General features: G+C 48.7%; 1 protein-coding gene across 10 annotated transcripts in view; it reads left to right on the forward strand.

Moving 5' to 3' along the window:
• PTK7 (protein tyrosine kinase 7 (inactive)) overlaps positions 1 to 15,705 on the forward strand; it is an 85,402-nt gene extending 69,697 nt beyond the window's left edge. For 9 of the 10 annotated variants that reach the window (NR_072998.2, NR_072997.2, NM_002821.5 and 6 more), the window contains 4 exons: positions 608 to 688; positions 12,807 to 12,958; positions 13,778 to 13,956; positions 14,711 to 15,705. Coding sequence is in view for 8 of the 10 variants with exons in the window: in NM_002821.5 (NP_002812.2) it covers positions 608 to 688; positions 12,807 to 12,958; positions 13,778 to 13,956; positions 14,711 to 14,871 (573 nt within the window). In the remaining 2 variants the exon portion in view is untranslated. Of the gene's footprint in view, positions 1 to 607; positions 689 to 12,806; positions 12,959 to 13,777; positions 13,957 to 14,710 lie in introns of those variants that run through there. The other variant, XM_047419157.1, reaches the window with a different exon arrangement.
• The last annotated feature ends 8,023 nt before the right edge of the window (positions 15,706 to 23,728 follow it).

Below are 23,728 nucleotides of genomic sequence, written 5' to 3' on the forward strand. Positions count from 1 at the left end.
GTCCTATCAGTCTTTCCATTAACAAGTACTTACGCGGCTGGGCACAGTGGCTCACACTTGTAATCCCAGCACTTTGGGAGACTGAGGCAGGAGGATCGCCTGAGGCCAGGAGTCCGAGACCAGCCTGGGCAACATAGCAAGACTCTGTCTCTACAAAAAAATTAAAAACAAACAAACAAGTACTTATGAATGCTTTATGTATGTTTCTGCTGCTGGCGTTCTCCTTTGTTTGTTTAGATTAGATTGTAAAGCTCTGGAGGACAGGGGTTTCCTCTCAGGAATCTTTGAGGGCAGAGGGTAGGGGACTGTTTTCCTCTTGGCTCACTGAAGATGGGGGCTCTGTTGCCCCACCTGTCTGGAGGTTCCCCTTGGGGTAGAAATGCCAATTCTCCTCCTTTCTAACTGAGACAGCCTCTAGGAGGCGTCTCCTATATATTTTTAAAGTTCTGCACTCCCAGTGAACTTCCCCCTGGGAAAGGGGCCCAGGCTAGCTTAGGCCTTCTCACTGCCTCCCCAGGCAGGAATTCTGCGAGCACCTGCTTGGTCTGAGGCTTTACAGCCAATGGCTGTGCACTGACCTGAGCGAGATGCCTGGCTTTTCCCTTAGGGAGACCTCAAGCAGTTCCTGAGGATTTCCAAGAGCAAGGATGAAAAATTGAAGTCACAGCCCCTCAGCACCAAGCAGAAGGTGAGGACAGGGAGTGAAGGAGGGAGGGAGAGGGTGCCCAGGGGTGGGCCAGGAGCAACAGAGGCACCATTTATTGAGGGCTCTCTATGGGCCAGGCCCTATGGTAAGAACTTCACATGTGTTACTGTAATTATCACGGTAGTCGTCTGAAATATATACTACTATCCCCATTTTGTGGATGAAGACATTGAGGCTTAGGAGGTTGTCTGACCTGTCCCAGGTCATGTAGCCTGGAAGTGGCTTTGCATTGCCATGCTGGCTTCACGGAGAAGAGCTACCCTCGGACCTTGCCTCTGGGCAGGAGCTTGCATTGGAGCAGGACGCCTGCCCACCTGCAATGAGCTCTGAGCTGGAGAAGCAGCAAGCAGTCCTAGTGCAGGGGCCTGCTGGGCTAGCTGTGGGCCTGAGCGTGTTTCTTCAGCTCTGAGTGGAGAAGACTCTTCTGTGAATGGGCTGCCTGGGTTTCCCCCTCTGTGGTTTGCATCTTGTCCTCTCCCTTGGGCTGTAGCTGCCCAGCCTTTCATTCCAGTTTTCCTCCTGCCTTTTGCGCAGAGGTTGTTCTGGGCACAGAGCCCTGGCTGGGGCCCCTGTGGTAGAGCAGACCTTGGTTGAAACAGTGAAGAAGGGAAAGCTTGCCTGCTACCCCCTGCCACCTCAGTCCATACCTTTCCAGTGCCTGGGGCTTGCTGTGGCCCGGCCCCTTCTTCCTTCCCTCAGGTTCTTCTTGCCCACAGCTGCCTCCTCTCCCCTCTGAAATGGATCTACTTCCTTCCATGTGACTGGAGAGTCTGCTTCCAAGCTGGCAGTGAAGTGACCTCATAAACCAAATCAGAGCTCAGGGCAGGGTAGGCAGAAGGCTCTGCCCTTTCTCCCAGGGGACCATTCCTTGCCTGCTAGGCTGTCCCAGGTCACAGACTCTGGAGGCAGAGCAGAAAGGCATGGCTGGCAGATGAATCAGGTGAATGGGACCCTGGCTGCCCCCAATCTCTCTGGGGAAGCAGCTCTGTGCCCTTCAGGCTGGCCCCCTCTTATTACATGTGAATTTACTAAGACCCAGACAGGACAAGTGACCTGGCCACCTGACACCACACCCCTACCTCCTTCCCCATGAAACTGCAGGAACTGTGTATAGTGGCTGTAGAGGAGAAGCCACAGGATGGGACTTGCTACACCAGCTAAGTGAGATTTCAGGACTAAAGAGCTCACAAATTAGGACACTCACAGAGCCAGTGACTCCTCACTGAGCCAGGTGTGGCCCCAGGGGCCCTTGGGAATGCAAAATTAAAACAGACAGGCATCAGCTAGGTGCGGTGGGAGGCTAAGGCAGGAGGATTGCTTCAGCTCAGGAGTTTGAGACCAGCCTGGGCAACATAGTAAGACCCTGTCTCTACAAAAAATAAAAAAAAGTTAACCGGGCGTGGGGGCATGCCTGTAGTCCCAGCTACTTGTGAGGCTGAGGAGGAAGAATCATTGGAGCCCAGGAGGTCGAGGCTGCGGTGAGCCATGATTACACCACTGCACTCCAGCCTGGGCAACAGAGCACGATCCTGTCTCAAAGGGAGGGGAGGGGGGGAAAGGACAGGCATCTTGCCCTTGGGGCACTTATGATCTAGTGAGGAGATTAGGTACATGAGTATGACCTGTGCCTTACAGACTTGAGGTAAAACAGAAAGCAAGTGGGAGGCATTAAGAGATGTTGAAGACACCCATGTCCTGTAGGTGGACAGATGGTTGTGGTTAACAAAGAAGTCTTCCTAGTAGAGAAAACCATTTGAGTTTAGTTCACAAGGACAGGATGTAGTTGAATGGCAGAAAGGGGATGGCTTCAAGAGTCAGGGGAGTCAAGGTGGGATTCTCTGGCTGGGATGAGACATAGGCTGACAGGAAGTCAGTTACCTTTCTCATGTGACCTAAGGGACTCTATTTGACTGCAAGTCATCACCATCTTTGCTAAATATCTTTTTCACACTTTTTTGCCATAGTGTCTTAAATATGATGGGGGAACTTTAATAAGTTGGGTTCTACACTCTCCAAGGACCATACTCTGCGTTACATAGAGAGGATGCTTTTAAAAAAAACAGGCAGGGCTCAGTGGCTCACACCTGTAATCCCAGCACTTTGGGAGGCCGAGGCGGGCAGATCACGAGGTCAGGAGTACGAGACCAGCCTGGCCAACATGGTGAAACCCCGTCTCTACTAAAAATACAAAAATTAGCCAGGTGTGGTGGTAGGTGCCTGTAATCCAAGCTACTCGGGAGGCTGAGGCAGGAGAATCACTTGAACCCGGGAGATGGAGGTTGCAGTGAGCCAAGATCGTGCCATTGCACTCCAGCCTGGGAGACAAGAGCAAGACTTTGTCTCAAAAAAAAAAAAAAAAAAAAAAGAAATGCAGGCCAGGCACAGTGGCTCATACCTGAAATCCCAGCACTTCGGGAGGCTGAGGCGGGAAGATCACTTGAGGCCAGGAGTTTGAGACCAGCCTGGCCAACGTGGGGAAACCCCATCTCTACTAAAAATACAAAAAGTACCTGGGCATGGTGTCACGTGCATATAATTCCAGCTACTCGGGAGGCTGAGGCAGGAGAATCGCTTGAGCCTGGGAGGCAGAGGTTGCAGTGAGCTGAGATCTTGCCACTGCACTCCAGCCTGGGCAACAGGAGTCAAACCCTGTCTCAAAAGAAAAAAAAAAGATTTCTGGACCATGACTCAGAATGAGGGAATTAGAGTATTTGAGAGTGAGGTCTAAAGATGTGAATTTTTCAAACAAGCTCTCCAGCTGATTCCTAAGCTCATTAAAGTTCAAGGAGCCCTGGTGGAGACTAGTAGCTTTGAAATGCTTTTTGATTATAATCCCTTTTAGGAAATGCATTTTAAGCTGGTGCAGCAGTATGTGCCTGTAATCCCAGCTACTTGGAAGGCTGAGGCCAGAGGATCCCTTGGGCCCAGGAGTGAGGCCAGCCTGAGTGACATAGCAAGACCTGCATCACTTAGCAACAACAAAAAAGAAATGCATTTTACTCATGATCTGGTGTGCAGGCTCATATAACTAAAATTAAACTTTCACAATGTTGTGTTTGATGCACTTGATGTTTTCTATCCTGTCCTCTTTTTATTTATTTTTATTTTTTGTAGAAATGGGGGTCTCGCCATGTTGTCCAGGCTGGTCTTGAACTTAAGTATTCTAGGGAGGTGGAGTGGTAGGCAGGGTGTTCCCTGGCCAGCTAGAGTTGGCACCAAAGTGCCATATTGGGTGTGAGTGGGCTGAGGGGAGCCTCAGGAGGATTTTAAGAGAGCAGTGAGTTAGTGACAGAAATCAAAGACATGGGTCCTGGGTGTTGGCATAATGGTAGGTAATGCCTTTTAGAGTAGCTGATAAGATGATATCAGAGAGCTGTAATCTGTGATTGCTTCATGGATCACTTGTGAACTAATGATGTGATGAGAAGCAGGATCAGCTTAGCACACCTGGTGGACCATGCTTTATGCAGTCAGATGCCGTGGCAGGAAACAGAAGGCCTCTTGTGAGATCTCATAGCATCACAGTGGGTTAGCCAGAACATGGGCAAACCCCTGGGGTGTTAAAATTGGAAAGGAAGGAGTGGGTCTGATCTTTACCAAAGAACGGGTCTTTTATAACAGTATTTGAGAATTACTCCAGTGGCTATCTGATGGCATCTTGCCCAGCATAAAGGAAACACCGAATTGGCTTGAGTCTAACAGAATTCCCTTTTACTGCCCTTGCTTTCCGGAAGCACCACCTCTCTGGAAAGATAGCAAGTCAGTTACCATGCCAAGTCCACCTTCTTCTGTTTACCTTGACTAGCAGCAGATTGTTTAACTTGTGAGCCAGATCAGAGAGAGCAGGCCAAGGGGACTCACAAGTCTGATGAGGGCACGTTACCAAAACCTTTGCCTGCCGCTTACAGAGAATCAAGCAAGGTTGGACAATGCCCTGGGATTTTGAAGCCTGAAGTGGAGTTGGCTCTGTTTATGATGGCCACTGAAGCAGCCTGGCCCCTTTACCACCAGTGCACCTGAGGCATTCTGAGGACGGTGCTGCAGGGGTTATTTTAGGGATGTAGACTCAGCTTTTTTTTTTTTTTTTTTTTTTTTTTTTTCCCGAGACAGAGTCTCGCTCTGTCTCTGTCACTCAGGCTGGGTTGCAGTGGCACCATCTCGGCTCACTGCAGCCTCCGCCTCCCAAGTAGCTGGGATCGCTCTTCAAGCGATTCTCCTGCCTTAGCCTCCCGAGTAGCTGGGATTACAGGAGCCCGCCACCACACCCAACTAATTTTTGTATTTTTAGCAGGGATGAGGTTTCACCATATTGGCCAGGCTGGTCTTGAACTCCTGACCTTGTGATCCACCCACCTTGGTCTCCCAGAGTGCTGGGAATATAGGTGTGAGCCACTGTGCCCAGCCAGACTCTGCTTTTTCATGGAAACCCCAGTGTACTTCCCTGTACCCAGAGAAGAGAGGCCCAGTAATCCTGACATGCCATCCACCTGCCTTCTTTTTTTTTTTTTTCTTGAGACCGAGTCTCGCTCTGTCGCCCAAGCTGGAGTGCAGTGGCAGTGATCTCTGCTCACTGCAAGCTCCGCCTCCCGGGTTCACGCCATTCTCCTGCCTCAGCCTCCCGAGTAGCTGGGACCACAGGCGCCCACTACCACGCCCGGCCAATTTTTTTGTATTTTTAGTAGAGGTGGGGTTTCACCGTGTTAGCCAAGATGGTCTCAATCTCCTGTCCTCGTGATCCGCCCGCCTCAGCCTCCCAAAGTGCTGGGATTACAGGCGTGAGGCACCGCGCCCAAGCCCCGTTTTTTTGTTTGTTTTTTGTTTTTTTTTTTTTTCGGAGACGGAGTCTCACTCCGTCGCCAGGCTGGAGTGTGGTGGCGCGATCTCGGCTCACTGCAAGCTCCGCCTCCCGGGTTGACGCCATTATCCTGCCTCAGCCTCCCGAGTAGAGTAGCTGGGACTACAGGCGCCCGCCACCATGCCCGGCTAATTTTTTTGTATTTTTAGTGGAGACGGGGTTTGACCAAGTTGGCCAGGATGGACACAATCTCCTGACCTCGTGATCCGCCCGCCTCGGCCTCCCAAAGTGCTGGGATTACAGGCGTGAGCCACCGCGCCCAGCCCCCCCGCCCCCCGCCTTTTTTTTTATTTGAGGCAGTCTCGCTCTGTCGCCCAGGCTGGAGTGCAGTGGCGGGATCTCGGCTCACTGCAAGCTCCGCCTCCCGGGTTCACGCCATTCACCTGCCTGAACCTCCCGAGTAGCTGGGACTACAGGCACCCACCACAAAGCCCGACTAATTTTTTGTATTTTTTTTAGTAGAGACGGGGTTTCATCATGTTAGCCAGGATGGTCTCGATTTCCTGACCTTGTGATCCACCCGCCTCGGCCTCCCAAAGTGAGCCACCGCTCAAAGACGTGAGCCACTGCGCCCAGCCCACCCGCCCTCTTCTTTAACCTTCCTCACTGGTTACACATTTAGTTGAAAGCTATCCTGAGATTTTATGTCTTCACTGTTGATAAAGAAATGTACCAAAGCAGCCAGGCACAGTGGCTCACGCCTGTAATCCCAGCACTTTGGGAGGCCGAGGCAGGCAGATCATTCACCATCAGTTTGAGACCAGCCTGGCCAACATGGTGAAACCCTGTCTCTACTAAAAATACAAAAATTAGCCGGGCGTGGTGGCGCATGCCTGTAGTCCTGCTACTTGGGAGGCTGAGGCACAAGAATTGCTTGAACTTGGGAGGCGGAGGTTGCGGAGAGCTGAGACTGCCACTGCACTCCCGCCTGGGCGACAGAGTGAGACTCCGTCTGGATGAGGTTTTTCCCAACTCTAATTACATCATTCATTTAGCACCTCTGCATTAATGCACTGCCTGTTAGAGCCTCAGGCAGCACTGATCAGGACGATGATGGGAATGTTCCATTTCTGTGCTGGTCAATATAGTTGTCACTAGCTTCATATAGCAACTGTACACTTGGAATTTGGCTAGAGCAACAGAAGAACTGAATTTTATTTTATTTATGTTATGTTATGTTATGTTATGTTATGTTATGTTATGTTATGTTATGTTATGTTATGTATTCTTTAGAGACAGAGTCTTACCCTGTCGACCAGGCTGAAGTGCAGTGGCAGGACCTCGGCTCACTGTAGCCTCCGCCTCCCAGGTTCAAATGATTCTCCTGCCTCGGCCCCCTGAGTAGCTGGGATTACAGGTGCGTGCCACCACACCTGGCTAATTTTTGTATTTTTAGTAGAGATGGGGTTTCACCACATTGGCCAGGCTGGTCTCGAACTCCTGACCTCAAGTGATCCGCCTGCCTCGGCGTCCCAAAGTGCTGGGATTACAAGTGTGAGCCACCACGCCCGGACTGAGTTTTATTTAATGTATTTTATTTATTTATTTATTTATTTTGAGATGGAGTCTCTCTCTGTCACCCAGGCTGGAGTGCAGTGGCATGATTTCGGCTCACTGCAAGCTCTGCCTGCCAGGTTCATGCCATTATCCTGCCTCAGCCTCCCGAGTAGCTGGGACTACAGGCGCCCGCCACCATGCCTGGCTAATTTTTTTGTATTTTTAATAGAGAGAGGGTTTCACTGTGCGTTAGGCAGGATGGTCTCGATCTCCTGACCTTGTGATCTGCCTGCCTTGGCCTCCCAAAGTGCTGGGATTACAGGCATGAGCCACCACACCCGGCCTGTATTTTATTTTTTGAGACAGAGTCTCATTCTGTCACCCAGGCTGGAATGCAGTGGTGCAATCATGGCTCACTGCAGCCTCGACCTGTGGAGCTCAAGTGATCCTCTCACTTCAGCCTCCCAAGTAGCTGAGACTACAGGCACCCACCACCACACCTGGCTAATTTTTAAATGTTCTTTAGAGAATGGGGTCTCACTATGTTGCCCAGGCTGGTCTCAAACTCCTAGGCTCAAGCAATCCTCCCACATCAGCTTCTTAAACCGCTGGAATTACAGGCCAGCAATAGCTACTGCGCTAAACAGAATTGAATTTTAAATGTTACTGAGTTTTAATTAACTTAAAGCCAGGTGCAGTGCCTCATACCTGTAATCGCAGCACTTTGGGAGGCCAAGGTGGAAGGATTGCTTGGGCCAGGAGTTTGAGACCAGCCTAGGCAACAAAGTGAGACTCTGTCTCTAAAAAATAAAAATAGGCTGGGCGTGGTGCCTCATGCCTGTAATCCAGCACTTTGGGAGGCCGAGGCAGGTGGATCACTTAATGGCAGTTCAAGACCAGCCTGGCCAAAATGGTGAAACCCCGTTTCTACTAAAAATAAAAAAATTAGCCGTGCATGGTGGTGGGCACCTGTAATTCCAGCTACATAGAAGGCTGATACAGGAGGATCACTGGAACCCGGGAGGCAGAGGTTGCAGTGAGCCGAGATAGCGCCACTGCACTCCAGCCTGGGTGACAGAGCAAGACTCAGTCTCTAAATAAATAAATAAATAAATAAATAAAATTAGCATGGTGGTATATGCCAATAGTCCCAACTACTAGGGAGGCTGAGGTGGGAGGATCACTTGAGCCTGGGAGGTTGAAGATACAGTGAACTGTGATTGCACCACTGCACTCCAGCCTGGGCAACAGGCACCCTGTCTCAAAAAAAAAAAAGTTTTAATTAAATTTAAATAGCCACATGGGGATAGTGCCTACTGTATAGGACAGCACAGATATAGACCATTGTTTTTAAAAAACTTTTTGACTGGGCAAAAAGTACAGTTTGCATCACAACCCAATACACACATATGTATATATTTTTAAAATGAAAACATTTCATGAATGATGCTCTTACTAAGTGTGATGCACTCTATTTTCTATTCCCTTTTTTTTTCTTTAATGCTGGCTAAGATTCCCTAAATTGGTTTCATGACATAGAGATTGTGACCATAGTTAGCAAAGCACCAGTAGAGGCAGTGGGGCTCACAGGGATGTCACTGGCCACTGCCCAAGAAAACTGAGAAGAGATGTCTTTGGAGTGTCCCCTCTCCTAGCGCTCGGGCTTGGCACCTCTGCTGGCCTTCTTGTGACCTCTGGGAGCCAGGCGGGGAAGCTGCTCTGAGCTAGCCAGGGATGCTGAAGGGCCAGCTCAGTAGCCAGCAGCCCAACCTCTGTGCCCACTGGTGGGCAGACAGTCCATCAGCAGTGATGTGATTCAGAGAGGCGGCTGCAGTGGTAGGGAAGAGCCAGCCTTTGGCACTAGCCTCACCATGGGCCCCTCAATGAAGCCAAGGCTGGGCCCTGCCTCACAGTGCATGTGTGGAGAGAGGCAACCAGCCTTGTTTGGGGTGTGGCACACAGCAGGTGCTCACCAAATGGCCCTTCCCCTTCTCTGTGAATGGGTGGTTTCTTATTTGCACCAAGTAACCTGGCTGCAGCCCCCCATCAAGAGCCCTGCTTTGGCCAGCCCTGTTATATTCCACCAACATCCACTGTATATGGCACGTGGTAGATACTCAAATTTTTTTTTTTTTAAAGAGATAGGATCTCACAATGTTGCCCAGGCTGGCTTTGAACTCCTGGGCTCAAGCAATTCTCCTACCCCACCCTCTTGAGTAGCTGGGACTACAGGTGCCTGGCTTCAATTTATATTTGTTCAGTGCATTAATACATACTTTTAAAATGTTAATGTGGCTGGGTGTGGTGGCTCATGCCTGTAATCCCAGTGCTTTGGGAGCCGAGGCAGGTGGATCACGAGGTTAGGGGTTCGAGACCAGCCTGGCCAACATGGTGAAACTTCGTTTCTACTAGAAAAAATACAAAAGTTAGCTGGGCGTGGTGGTATGTGCCTGTAAACCCAGCTACTCGGGAGGTTGAGGCAGGAGAATCGCTTGAACCCGGGAGGCGGAGTGGAGGTTGCAGTGAGCCGAGATCAGGCCACTGCACTCCAGCCTGGCAACAGAACAAGACTCCATCAAAAAAAAAAAAAGTTAATGTAATTTAGTTACGTTTCATATATAGTGTATAATATAATATATTCACATTGGCTCAAAATTCTAAAAAGAGTATTAATGAATGAAAAATCTCCCCAACTCTTTCACTTTGGAAAAGAGTTGGGCATTATTTTGTATAGCTAGAGATATTCATATTCTAGACTTCGTCTTAGGTATCTTAGAGAAACTCATACATGTGTACACTTATAAAAGTGTTCATAATAACGCTGTTCTTAATAGCCCCAAACTGGAAACAACCCATTGGCATTAGAATTAAAGTATGAGGCCAGGCGTGGTGGCTCACGCCTGTAATCCCAGCACTTTGGGAGGCTGAGGCAGGCTGATCACTTGAGGTCAGGAATTCAAGACCAGCCTGACCAATGTGGTGAAACCCCATCTCTACTAAAAATACAAAAATTAGCTGGGTGTCATGGTGGGCACCTGTAATCCCAGCTGCTTGGGAGGCTGAGGCACGAGAGTCACTGGAACTTGGGAGGCAGAGGTTGCAGTGAGCTGAGGTCATGCCACTGTACTCCAGCCTGGGTGACAGAGCAATACCCTGTCTCAAAAAAAAAAAAAAAAAAAAAAAAAAGAATTAAAATATGAGATGTTTATAATGAAAAACAGACCATGTCCAGTGATTTAAAAAAATTAACCTGGCTGGCCCAGTGGCTCACACCTGTGATCCCAGCAGTTTGGGAGGCAGAGATGGAAGGATTGCTTGATCCCAGGAGTTTGAGACCAGCCTGAGCAACATAAGGAGACCCCCGTCTCTACAAAAAAATACAAAAATAAAAAAGGCTGGGATTGATGGTACACATTTTTGTCCCAGCTACACAGGAGGCTGAGTTGGGAGGATCACTTGAGTCCAGGAGGGCGAGGCTGCAGTGAACCGTGATCACCATCACTGTACTCCAGCCTGGGTGACAGAGTGAGACCCTATCTCAAAAAATAAAGGCCGGGCACAGTGGCTCATGTCTGTAATCCCAGCACTTGGGAGGCTGAGGAGGGTGGATCATGAGGACGAGATCGAGACCATCCTGGCCAACATGATGAAACCCCATCTCTACTGAAAATACAAAAATTAGCTAGGCGTGGTAGTGCGCGCCTGTAATCCCAGCTACTTGGGAGGCTGAGGCAGGAGAATCACTTGAACCCAGCGGGGTGGAGTTTGCAGTGAGCCGAGATCGCACCACTGCCCTCCAGCGTGGGTGACAAGAGCGAGACTTGGTCTCAAAACAAGCAAACAAACAAAAGAATCTTACAATGTTGTGAAAAAAAAAAAAAATCCAGGCACAAAAGAGTATACATTTTGTGTGCTTCCAGTTTTAATCTGGCTCTGAAACAGGCAAAATGGAATTATATTATCTAGGAACATGTAAGTGGTAAACTACAAAGAACAAGAAAGAAATTATCACAAAAGTCAGGGTAGTGGTTACTCCTTGAGGGGAGGGAGAACATATGGTTGGGAAGGAACTCTTGAGTGCTAGCATTGTTGGATTGTGGTTTTTTTTTTTTTTTCCCACAAAAAAATGTAAGCCAGAAGTTTTCTTACCTTTCTACCTTCTAGCCTCCAGTTCCGTTCCTTGGAGGCAGCCAGTCATATGGGTCTATATGCCTTAACACATACACACACGTGCGTGCACACACACAGACACACACGCTATATATATATATATATATATATATATATATATATATATTTTTTTTTTTCTTTTTTTTTTTTTTTTTTTAATAGAGTCTCACTATGTTGCCCAGACTGGTCACAAACTCCTGAGGTTAAGCAGTCCTCCTGCCTCAGCCTCCCAAAGTGCTGGGATTACAGGCATGAGTCACCATGCCCAGCATACACACACATATTTTTAACACAACTAGTAGAAAAGATAGACTTTTGAAGTAAAATGAAAAAGAAACAACCCATAAAGATATCATCTAAGATCAGGCATGGTGCCACTCACCTGAAATCCCAGTGCTTTGGGAAGCTAAGGCAGGAGGATCGCTTGAGGTTAGATATTTGAGACCAGCCTGGGCAACGTAGCTAGACACCGTCTCTACCAAAGAAATATATATATATATTTTTTGAGATGGAGTTTTGCTCTTATTGCCCAGGCTGGAGTGCAATGGCGCAATCTCGGCTCACCACAACCTCCGCCTGCTGGGTTCAAGCGATTCTTCTGCCTCAGCCTCCCCAGTAGCTGGGATTATAGGCATGTGCCACCACACCCAGCTAATTTTTGTATTTTTAGTAGTGCTGGGTTTATCCACGTTGATCAGGCTGGTCTCGAACTCCCAATCTCAGGTGATCCACCTGCCTTGGTAAAGAATTTTTTTTTTTAATTAAAAAGTAAGCTGGGGGCTGGGCGCAGTGGCTCATGCCTGTAATCCCAGCACTTTGGAAGGCCGAGGCGGGCGGATCACAAGGTCAGGAGATCGAGACCATCCTGGCTAACATGGTGAAACCTCGTCTCTACTAAAAATACAAAAAAATTAGCTGGGCGTAGTGGCAGGCACCTGTAATCCCAGCTACTCGGGAGGCTGAGTCAGGAGAATGGCGTGAACCCGGGAGGCAGAGCTTGAAGTGAGCCGAGATCATGCCACTGCACTCCAGCCTGGGCAACAGAGCAAGACTCCGTCTCAAAAGAAAAAAAAAAAAAGTAAGCTGGGCATGGTGATGCACAGCTATAGTCCTAGCTACTTGGAAGGCTGAGGTGGGAGGATTGCTTGAGCCCAGGAGTTTAGAGGCTGCAGTGAGCTGTGATCATGTCACTGCACTCTAGCCTGGGTGACAGAGCAAGACCCTGTCACTTGAAAATAAAAAATATCAGCTATGATTTCTGCCCACTTATTTTTCACTGGACAAGTGGTTACTATGTATGTGCCCTTAGGCCCATGTGCCACTCACTTAATCTGGCACTTGCTGTGTGTCAGCATGGTGTCAGGCACTTTAGTTTGCTTAGTTCAGTCTTCTAACAACCCAGGAAGGCAGGTACTGTTATTATCCCCATTTTACAGAGAAGGAAGCTGAGGCTGTTGTGCTTCTGGGCTTCCTACGCAGCACACCAATAGTGTTGAAACGCTACCAAGGGTTGTGTTGAGGGTGGTCATCTTGATGCCTATTCCTGGGCTGCTCTAACAGGCCCCTTTATCTCTCCAGGTGGCCCTATGCACCCAGGTAGCCCTGGGCATGGAGCACCTGTCCAACAACCGCTTTGTGCATAAGGACTTGGCTGCGCGTAACTGCCTGGTCAGTGCCCAGAGACAAGTGAAGGTGTCTGCCCTGGGCCTCAGCAAGGATGTGTACAACAGGTAGAAGGGCATGCGTGGGGTGGGGGCTCCCCATTTTTTCCCAGAGGGTGAGGGGCAGAGGACAGATAGTTTGGGGGGTGTGGGAAAGGGTTTAGTGCCTGCTTAGTCCAAAGCTGGAGGGCCTGGGATAGGGAAGAGCTTTCTCATCCTTTTTCCAAGGGTGCAGCAGGCTTCCCACCCAGTGCACACCCTTGGTGGTTGTAAAATGTCTCTAGCGATTAAATAAATAAATAAACCTTTTTTAAAAAATAGGCAAATTTGATAAGGATTTATATATAATCTATTTATATGGCTCTCTCTGTAACTTCCTGAATTCAGTCATTATTATTTTGAAGTCTGAGACTTATGCCTCAGCACCCATGCCAGAGCTTGCTCTAGACAGCCTACGAGGGCTCTGCAGCGCTGCCGGGAACATCACCCTGAGTCCCTCTGGTTCCAGGTCACCCCCATTTGTCTGACTATAGCTGTAGTGAGGATTGGTTTATCACTAATAAAGCTCTTTCCATTTAACAGTTCTTAGTTTTTACATTTTTACAACCAATATAGAAAGTATGTATGACTATTAACTTTTCTGTTAACATTTAGGCAAAGTTTGATTCTTAATGGAAATTTTTTAACCATCAAACCTCTCGTGTGGTTACCTCCAGATTTTGTCTAGTGTACTCCCATGCTCAGCACGCATGTGACCAATTTCTTGATGTCTGTATGTAGAAAGGCTGGGCCCCCGGCTTGGGGATGCGTTCCAGATGGGGAGATGAGGGTGCAGCGCCAGGCCACGCTCCCACCCCACCTCACCCCTGGGTTGCTTCTCTCCTGCAGTGAGTACTACCACTTCCGCCAGGCCTGGGTGCCGCTGCGCTGGATGTCCCCCGAGGCCATCCTGGAGGGTGACTTCTCTACCAAGTCTGATGTCTGGGCCTTCGGTGTGCTGATGTGGGAAGTGTTTACACATGGAGAGATGCCCCATGGTGGGCAGGCAGATGATGAAGTACTGGCAGGTAGGCAGCCTTGCTGCTAGGGGATGATTCCAGATGGGCCCCAGATGGGGCCTACTCAGGGCCCCAGGGCTGGTTCAGCCTACCTCCCTCTCAGGGCTGCTACTGAGCAGGCACACAGATACAACCACTCTGGTTGTTAAAATACTGCAATACTTTGTTTTTCTTTTGAGACGGAGTGTCGCCCTGTCGCCCAGACTGGAGTGCAGTGGCCCGATCTCCGTTCACTGCAACTTCTGCCTCCTGGGTTCAAGCGATTCTCCTGCCTTAGACTCCCTAGTAGCTGGGATTACAGGCACGCACCTCCACTCCCTGGCTAATTTTTGTATTTTTAGTAGAGATGGGGGGGCTTCACCATGTTGGTCAGGCTGGTCTCAAACTCCTGACCTTGTGATCCACCCGCCTCGGCCTCCCAAAGTGCTGGGATTGCAGGCGTGAGCCACCACACCTGGCCGAAAATACTGCAATACTTCTATATTGGTTGGTAAATAGCCTTTGCCCCCAGTGCCCACTCCAGCCACTCTGACGCCTGTCCGCCAGCCCACTTCAGCTCCTATGCATGGACCCCGTCCTACCAGCCAGAGTGAGTGGGGCCAGGGGAGTCATCTTTTTCCGTTGCGGGTACCCACCTGCCGCTGGCCAGCATTGCCCCAGAGGCATCCTTGGGTGGCTGCTTGTATAAACTGCAAGGTCCACAAAGTGTTGAACAAGTTGTTGAATGTTTTGGCCAACACTGCACCTGCTGTCTTCCCTACAGATTTGCAGGCTGGGAAGGCTAGACTTCCTCAGCCCGAGGGCTGCCCTTCCAAACTCTATCGGCTGATGCAGCGCTGCTGGGCCCTCAGCCCCAAGGACCGGCCCTCCTTCAGTGAGATTGCCAGCGCCCTGGGAGACAGCACCGTGGACAGCAAGCCGTGAGGAGGGAGCCCGCTCAGGATGGCCTGGGCAGGGGAGGACATCTCTAGAGGGAAGCTCACAGCATGATGGGCAAGATCCCTGTCCTCCTGGGCCCTGAGGCCCCTGCCCTAGTGCAACAGGCATTGCTGAGGTCTGAGCAGGGCCTGGCCTTTCCTCCTCTTCCTCACCCTCATCCTTTGGGAGGCTGACTTGGACCCAAACTGGGCGACTAGGGCTTTGAGCTGGGCAGTTTTCCCTGCCACCTCTTCCTCTATCAGGGACAGTGTGGGTGCCACAGGTAACCCCAATTTCTGGCCTTCAACTTCTCCCCTTGACCGGGTCCAACTCTGCCACTCATCTGCCAACTTTGCCTGGGGAGGGCTAGGCTTGGGATGAGCTGGGTTTGTGGGGAGTTCCTTAATATTCTCAAGTTCTGGGCACACAGGGTTAATGAGTCTCTTGGCCCACTGGTCCCACTTGGGGGTCTAGACCAGGATTATAGAGGACACAGCAAGTGAGTCCTCCCCACTCTGGGCTTGTGCACACTGACCCAGACCCACGTCTTCCCCACCCTTCTCTCCTTTCCTCATCCTAAGTGCCTGGCAGATGAAGGAGTTTTCAGGAGCTTTTGACACTATATAAACCGCCCTTTTTGTATGCACCACGGGCGGCTTTTATATGTAATTGCAGCGTGGGGTGGGTGGGCATGGGAGGTAGGGGTGGGCCCTGGAGATGAGGAGGGTGGGCCATCCTTACCCCACACTTTTATTGTTGTCGTTTTTTGTTTGTTTTGTTTTTTTGTTTTTGTTTTTGTTTTTACACTCGCTGCTCTCAATAAATAAGCCTTTTTTACAACCTGTTTCTGAGATTCATTCCCTGCTCTTGCTCGTGGAAGATGTTCCTTTTTCCCCCGCTGATGAGAAGGGGCCGTGTGCAGGCCGGGTGCAGTGGCTCATGCCTGTAATCCCAGCACTTTGGGAGGCTGAGGCCAGTGGATCACCTGAGGTCAGGAGTTCGAGACCAGCCTGGCCAAAAAGGTGAAACCCCTGTCTCTACTGAAAATATAAAAATTAGCTGGACATGGTGGCAGGCGCCTGTAATCCCAGCTACTTGGGAGGCTGAGGCAGGAGAATCGCTTGAACCCAGGAGATGTAGGTTGCAGTGAACCGAGATCACACCACTGCACTCCAGCCTGGGTGACAGCGAGACTCTGTCTAAAAAAAAACAAAAAAAAAAAGAGAAAAATGAAAGGGCCATGTGCCTTCATGGAGTCTGGTGGGGCTTGGACAGGATGAACCGGTGGATATTGGTTCTTCTCTCCAGTTTGCAGGGCAGGTGAGCATGCAGGCATGAAGAAGGCAAGATCACCTGTTGTCTGTGCAACCCTGTGCTGTCCTCTGACTGTCACCTAGACGGGCCTAATCCTTGTGCTCAGATGGGGAGGGTAGAAGCGTGAAGGGGAGCAAGTTAGAGTAGGATTGGAGAAGGAGTTAGTGACAGACTCAGGTCTCTGAGTCCTTTCAAGACCCTAGGAGGGAAGTGAAGTAGGTAGAACCAAGCAGAGAGACGGTGCTTAATGCCTGGATCTTGTGTCCTCACCTATCCTCTGCCTCATTCCAGTAACTTCAGCCTGGTTCACCATCCAAAAGAAACGAGTCCTGAACTCCAAAACTGCTCTAGTTCCTTTACTCCTCACCAAACTTCTGAATAATAAAAATAACAGCAGGCTGGACATGGTGGTTCACACCTGTAATCCTAATACTTTGGGAGACTGAGGCAGGAAGATCACTTGGGACCAGGAGTTTGAGACCAGCCTGGCCAACATAGTGAGACCCTGTCTCTACAAAAAATTTAAAAATTAGCCAGGTGTGGCGACATGCACTTGTAGTCCTAACTACTGAGGAGGCTGAGGCAGGAGGATCATGTGAGCCCAGAAGTTTGAGGTGGCAGTGAGCTATGATCACAACACTGCACTCCAGCCTGGGTGATCAAGTGAGACCCTGTCTCAAAAAAATAAAAAAAACAGGCCGGCTGGGCACGGTGGTTCACGCCTGTAATCCCAGTACTTTGGGACCTGAGGTGGGTGGATCCACGAGGTCAGGAGTTTGAGACCAGCCTGGCCAATATGGTGAAACCCTGTCTCTATTAAAAATACAAAAGTTAGCTGGGCGTGGTGGTGCACACCTGTAGTCCCAGCTGCTTGGGAGACTGAGGCGGCAGAATCGGTTGAACCTGGGAGGCAGAGGTTGCAGTGAGCCAAGATTGCACCACTGCACTCTAGCCTGGGCAACAGAGCAAGACTCTGTCTCAAAAAATAATAATAATAAAAGGCCACAGGAACAGTGGCTCATGCCTATAATCTCAGCACTTTAAAAGGCTGAGGTGACAGAAATGCCTGGGCAACATGGCTAGACTACACCTCTACAAAAAATTTAAAACTTAGCTGGGTGTAGGGCCGGGCACCATGGCTCACACCTGTAATCCCAGCACTTTGGGAGGCCAAGGCGGGTGGATCACAAGGTCAAAAGATAAAGACCGTCCTGGCTAACACGGTGAAACCCTGTCTCTACTAAAACAAAAAATTAGCCGGGAGTGGTGGTGGGTGCCTGTAGTGCCAGCTACTCGGGAGGCTGAGGCAGGAGAATGGCGTGAACCTGGGAGGCAGAGCTTGCAGTGAGCCGAGATCGCACCACTGCACTCCAGCCTGGGCGACAGAGTGAGACTCTGTCTCAAAAAAAAAAAAAAAAAAAAAAAGAGAGACCATCCTGGTCAACATGGTCTCTACTAAAAAAAATACAAAATTTAGCTGGGCATGGAGGCACGTGCCTGTAGTCCCAGCTACTCAGGAGGCTGAGGCAGGAGAATCGCTTGAACCTGGGAGGCAGAAGTTAAAATGAGCCGAGATCATGCCACGGTACTCCAGCCTGGAGACAGAGCGAGACTCTGTCTCAAAAAAAAAAAAAAAAATTAGCTGGGGGTAGTGGGGGTGTGCCCATGGTCTCAGCTATTCTGGAGGCTGAGGAGGGAGGATCTCTTGAACCCAGGAGGTTCTCACCACTGCACTCCAGGCTGGGTGACAGAGCAAGACCCTGTCTCAAAAAAAAAAAAAAAAAAAAAAAGAAAAGCTAATGTTTTTTGAAGACTTTATCTGCACTAGTCACTTAATGTGCATTATCTCATTTAATCTCTGCAACTACTCTGTTAGCCAGATGAGATTATTTCCATTTCACAGATTAGGAAACTGAGTCTCAAGGGAAGTCAGGTAGTTTGCCCATGGTTACACAGCTAGTAAGTGAGCCATAGTCACTGGTATACACCATGCATTACATCCTTCAGATGTGTTGAAGGGAAAATTTTTCTAGAGCAGTGTTTTTCAAACTCTGGTTTGCAACCAGCATTAAAAAAGAAAAAAAGGGAAAAAAAGAAACATAATAGGCACTATCAGAGTACGTTGTATCCTTTAAGGGTAATTGTTGTTTTACAAAATTTTGTTATATTTGCTGCATATATATATATATATTGGATAGTGTGTTAGTTAACTGTTGGGTGGTGATACTGCATAGTAATCCCCAAATCTTACTAGCTGACAAGATTTTTTTCTGACTCATGTATCTGCAGGTTGGTGAGGGTTGGCTGATTTTGGCTGTGCTTGGTGCCAGGCTGGAGGTCTGGCTTAGGTCTAGTCTGCTGGCACCCAGAGCATGTTCTTATGCAGTGGCAGAGTGCAAGAGGTCAAGCCAAACTGTGCAAGCACATTTCAAACCACAAGTCTGAGCTGGCACCATGGCATGTGCCTGTAGTCCCAGCTACTTGGGAGGCTGAGGCAGGAGGTTCGCTTTAAGCCCATGAGTTTGAGGCTGTAGTGTGCAATGATTGTTCCTGTGAATAGCCACTACACTCACTCCAACCTGGGCAAAATAGACCCCATCTCTTACACACACACACACTCACGCACACACACACACGTCTATTAACATTTTATTGGCCAAAGCAAGTCACACAGTAAAACCCAACATCAGCACCAGTAGGACATACTGCAAAGTCACACGGCAAGGATGTTGATGTATATAATTCCAACAGAGGGTGTGAAGAGTTGGGAGCAATAATCTAACTGACCACAGGTTGCAATGTAAAAATGATTTCTGACTGTGGGTTGCACCCAGAAATATTTGAAAGGCACTGCTCTGGAAAGTTATTAATCACTAAATCCTCTTCTAACTCTTGTTCTTCCTTGAGCACTCCATAGTGGCTAACATTGTTGGCCATACCTTCCTCTTCAGAGACTCTCCTCCGTCCCCACCTTTTTTTTTTTTTTTTGAGACTATCTTGCTCTGTCACTTAGGCTGGAGTGCAGTGGTGTGATCTCAGCTCACTGCAAGCTCCGCCTCCGGGTTCACGCCATTCTCCTGCCTCAGCCTCCCAAGTGGCTGGGACTACAGGCACCTGCCACCACGCCCGGCTAATTTTTCGTATTTTTAGCAGAGACGGGATTTCACCATGTTAGCCAGGATGGTCTCGATCTCCTGACCTCATGATCCACCCGCCTTGGCCTCCCAAAGTGCTGGGATTACAGGCGTGAGCCACCGCGCCCCCCCGCCCTCCCTCACTTTTTTACACTGTCAACAGTTTCTCTGGCCAGTCCTTCTCCAGCCCTGGCTAAGGCTTTTTTTTTTTTTTTTTTTTTTTGAGACAGAGTCTTGCCCTGTTGCCCAGGCTGGAGTGCAGTGGCACGATCTCGGCTCACTGCAAGCTCCGCCTCCCAGGTTCACGCCATTCTCCTGCCTCAGCCTCCCGAGTAGCTGGGACTATAGGCACCCGCCACCATGCCCAGCTAATTTTTTATACTTTTAGTAGAGACGGGGTTTCATGGTGTTAACCAGGGTGGTCTCGATCTCCTGACCTCATGATCCGCCCGCCTCAGCCTCCCAAAGTGCTGGGATCACAGGAGTTAGCCACCGCGCCCCGCCTAAGGCTTCTTTTTCTCCTGCCATGGCTATGCTCCTGAGACTGTCATTGCCCTTCCTTTCTCTACTTTCTTTCTTTCTTTCTTTCTTTTTTTTTTCTGGAGATAGGGTCTCACTCTGTCACCTAGGCTGGAGTATAGTGGTAGATCATGGCTCATTCCAACCTCAACCTCCCAGGCTCAAGGGATCCTCCCACCTCAGCTTCCGAGTAGCTGGGACTACAGGTGCGTACCACCAAACCCAGCTAATTTTTGTATTTTTCGTAGAGATAGGGTTTTGCCATGTTACCCAGGCTGGTCTCAAATTCCTGAGCTCAAGCGATCCACTTGCCTCAGCCTCCCAAAGTGCTCACAGGCATGAGCCACCACACCCAGCCTATTTTTGCTTAATTTTATTATTATTATTATTATTATTATTATTTTGAAAGAGTGTCTCGCTCTGTCCCCCAGGCTGTAGTGCAATGCCTTGATTTCGGCTCACTGCAACCTCCACCTCCTGAGTTCAAGCGATTCTCCTGCCTCAGACTCCCCAGAAGCTGGGATTATAGGTGCCCGCCACCACACCCAGCTAATTTTTTTTGTATTTTCAGTAGAGACAGGGTTTCACCATATTGGCCAGTGTGGTCTCAAACTCCTGACCTTAAGCGATCCATCCGCCTCAACCTCCCAAAGTGCTGGGATTACAGGCATGAGCCACCGCACCCGGCCTATTTTTGCTTAATTTTAAAAGAAAAATATAAAAGTCATATTGATTGTCAAAGAAGTCACATGGTACAAACTTATATAAAGCAAAAAAACACACCCCTCTCATCCCAAACCTCACTCTCCATAGGTAAGCACTATTAGTGTTTGGAGTGTGGCTTTCCAGACTTTTCCTGGGCACAATGACTCATAAATTCTTTTCCATTACTGCTAATGCTGCCATCACAATTGATACCCTCTTTGCCTCTGTGCAAAATTATGAATCCCTGAGTAAAGGTTAATTCCAAATGAAAACAGATTTAGGGTATTTTGACAGTAATTTTTTTTTCTTTTTTGAGACAGGGTTTTCCTCTTACCTAGATTGAGTGCAGTGGTGCCATCATGGCTCACTGCAGCCTGGGCTCAAGCAATCTTCCCACCTCAGCCTCCCTAGTAGCTGGGACTACGACTACAGATGCGTGCCACTGTGCCCCAGCATTTTTTTTTTTTTTTGAGATGAAGTTTCACTCTTTCACCCAGGCTGGAATGAAGTGGCACGATCTTGGCTCACTGCAATCTCTCCCCTCCAGATTCAAGTGATTCTCCTGCCTCAGCCTCCTGAGTAGCTGGGATTATAGGCATACACCACCAGGCCCGGCTAATTTTTGTATTTTTAGGAGAGGTGGGATTTTTGCCATGTTGGCCAGGCTGGTCTTGAACTCCTGACCTCAGGTGATCCACCCTCCTAGGCCTCCCAAAGTGCTAGGATTACAGGCATGACCCACCTTGCCTGCCTGTGTTTTTTTTTTTTAAGAGATGGGGTCTCATTGTGTTGTCCAGGCTGGTGTCAAAACTCCCGGACTCAAATTATCCTCCCACCTTGACCTCAAAAAGTGCTGGGATTTTAGGTGTGAATCACTGCACCCAGCCATGACAGTAATTTTTAAAAGCAATCCTTAATTTTTGTTTGTTATTAGTTAGGTGATAAAAATCAGAAGAAAGAAAGAAAGGTCAGGGTGGAATCTGTGTGGTGTGAGGGATCTGGCTGAAATTCCCATGCACTTACAGAGGCCCTTCATGGTCTGGGGTGGACATGAGCTCCCATCTGTTGCAAGGTGCTACTCTGATCAGGCCTTTTCGGAGGAACATTTCAACTTCACATTTCAGAGCAGCCAGGCAGGAGCTTACCTAGGCTCAGTAGGCTGCGTGGAGTCTATGGTAAAGTGGAGAGCCTCTTCTATGGCCACCATCAGCTCCAGGTTATAATGCTTTTGTGGGTACCTAGGCCCAGTGTTACCAAAAATTCTGATTTTTTTGAGAGAGGTCAGATATTCAGATTTTTTTTTTTTTTTGAAAAGGAGTCTCACTCCGTAGCTCAGGCCGGAGTACAGTGGCCCCATTTAGGCTCACTGCAACCTCTGCCTCCCAGGTTCAAGTGATTCTCCTGCCTCAGCCTCTCGTGTAGCTGGGATTACAGATGTGTGCCACTATGCCCGGCTACTTTTTTATTTTTTTAGTAGAGATGGCGTTTCACCATGTTGGCCAGGCTGGTCTTGAACTCCTGACCTCAAGTGATCCATCCACCTTAGCTTCCCAAAGTGCTGGGATTACAGACATGAGCCACCACGCCCGGCCAGACATTCAGATTTTTATGTAAACTCTTATGATTTTTAAATGTTATAAGGTCCAAATAAAACACCTCTATGAGACAGTTTTTGATTTTGACTTTATCCCTAGCAATACTTTTGGCTCTGGAACCTGCAGTAATCCAATAGTGTGGGTAGAGGTCTCCTCCTGACTCCCTGTGGTGACAAAGGACATGAAGATGGGCCATCCCAAGCAGACAGAGAAGCTGTGACACTAACACTGGTGTGCAATGACCCAGGAGTTGGGAGAAGTTGAAGAGAGGGCAGCCTATTTGAAGGGAAGCTAAGGACTGCGTTCTTCCCAGACACCCTCCCCTATAGATGTGACAGAGAGCAGTTGTCCCTGCTGAGGGATGTCACCCCTGCATGTGTCTAAACTAGGGGGCGCAAATGAAAGGGTCTTTAGAGGGCAGGTGGGAATGAAATCCCAGAGCTTTGGCTGTAATATTATGGTGCTCAGACAAAACATGACCCCAGGCATCATTTGTGGTCCCTAAAACCCTTCTGGAACCTATTTATCTGTTTGACCTGTTCTTCCTCTTGGGCTAACACGTTCCATATGTTTAAGTACCTGTTGTAAAGAGTAAATTAGTGGAGGGAGGGGAGACCTCTTTAAAACTATTGGGGGCTGGGTGCAGTGGCTCAGGCCTTTAATCCCAGCACTTTGGGAGGCCGAGGTGAGAGAATCGCTTGAGCCCAGAAGTTTGAGACCAGCCTGGGCAACATAGGGAGACCTTATCTCTATATGACAAAAAATACACACTATATTTTATTCACTATACACACAAAATACACACTATATTTTACTGATCACTTGCACATATTTTATTTCAGTATTTTTCAAGCTTTTGGATTGTGACTCACAGTAAGAAATGCAGTTAATATTGTCATCCATTACACACATACACTGAATTATGAGAAATTGACAATATCCCACCTTCTTGACCTATAAAATGGCAATTTTGTAGGGTTCAACCTATATATAATGCAAACAAACATTTTATGCAACAATATTTGCCCTTGCTTTTTGTGATACCCATTAATTTATTCTTTTAAATGTTGATTGTAGTATACTGAATTGATATCACTACCACTACCAGTAATGACTAGGTTACAATCAACTGCTTTATTTAATCTCCATAATTTTTCGGGCAGGAATAATCACTGCCTCCCATCCCCTTAAACATGCCAAGATGCTTTATCCCTAGGATGAGGTGACTTACTCCAGGTAACTCCTATTGCCTAACCACTGACCAATTACTCTGCCCTTTAGTCTTTATGTCATTAAATCTGCATTAAGAATTTCATGGAATAGGCCCGGCATGGTGGCTCATGCCTGTAATCCCAGCACCTTGGGAGACCGAGGTGGGAGGATCACTTGAGGTCAGCAGTTCGAGACCAGCCTGGACAACATGGCGAAACCCCATCTCTACTAAAAACACAAAATAACTAGCCAGGTGTGGTGGTGGGCACCTGTAATCCCAGCTATTTGGGAAGCTGAGGCAGCAGGAGAATCGCTTGAACTGGGGAGGCAGAGGTTGCAGTGAGTCGAGATCGTGCCAGTGCACTCCAGCCTGGGCGACAGAGC

The sequence above is a fragment of the Homo sapiens genome, chromosome 6 (genome assembly GCF_000001405.40).
Source record: "Homo sapiens chromosome 6, GRCh38.p14 Primary Assembly".
Classification (NCBI taxonomy): Eukaryota; Metazoa; Chordata; class Mammalia; order Primates; family Hominidae; genus Homo; species Homo sapiens.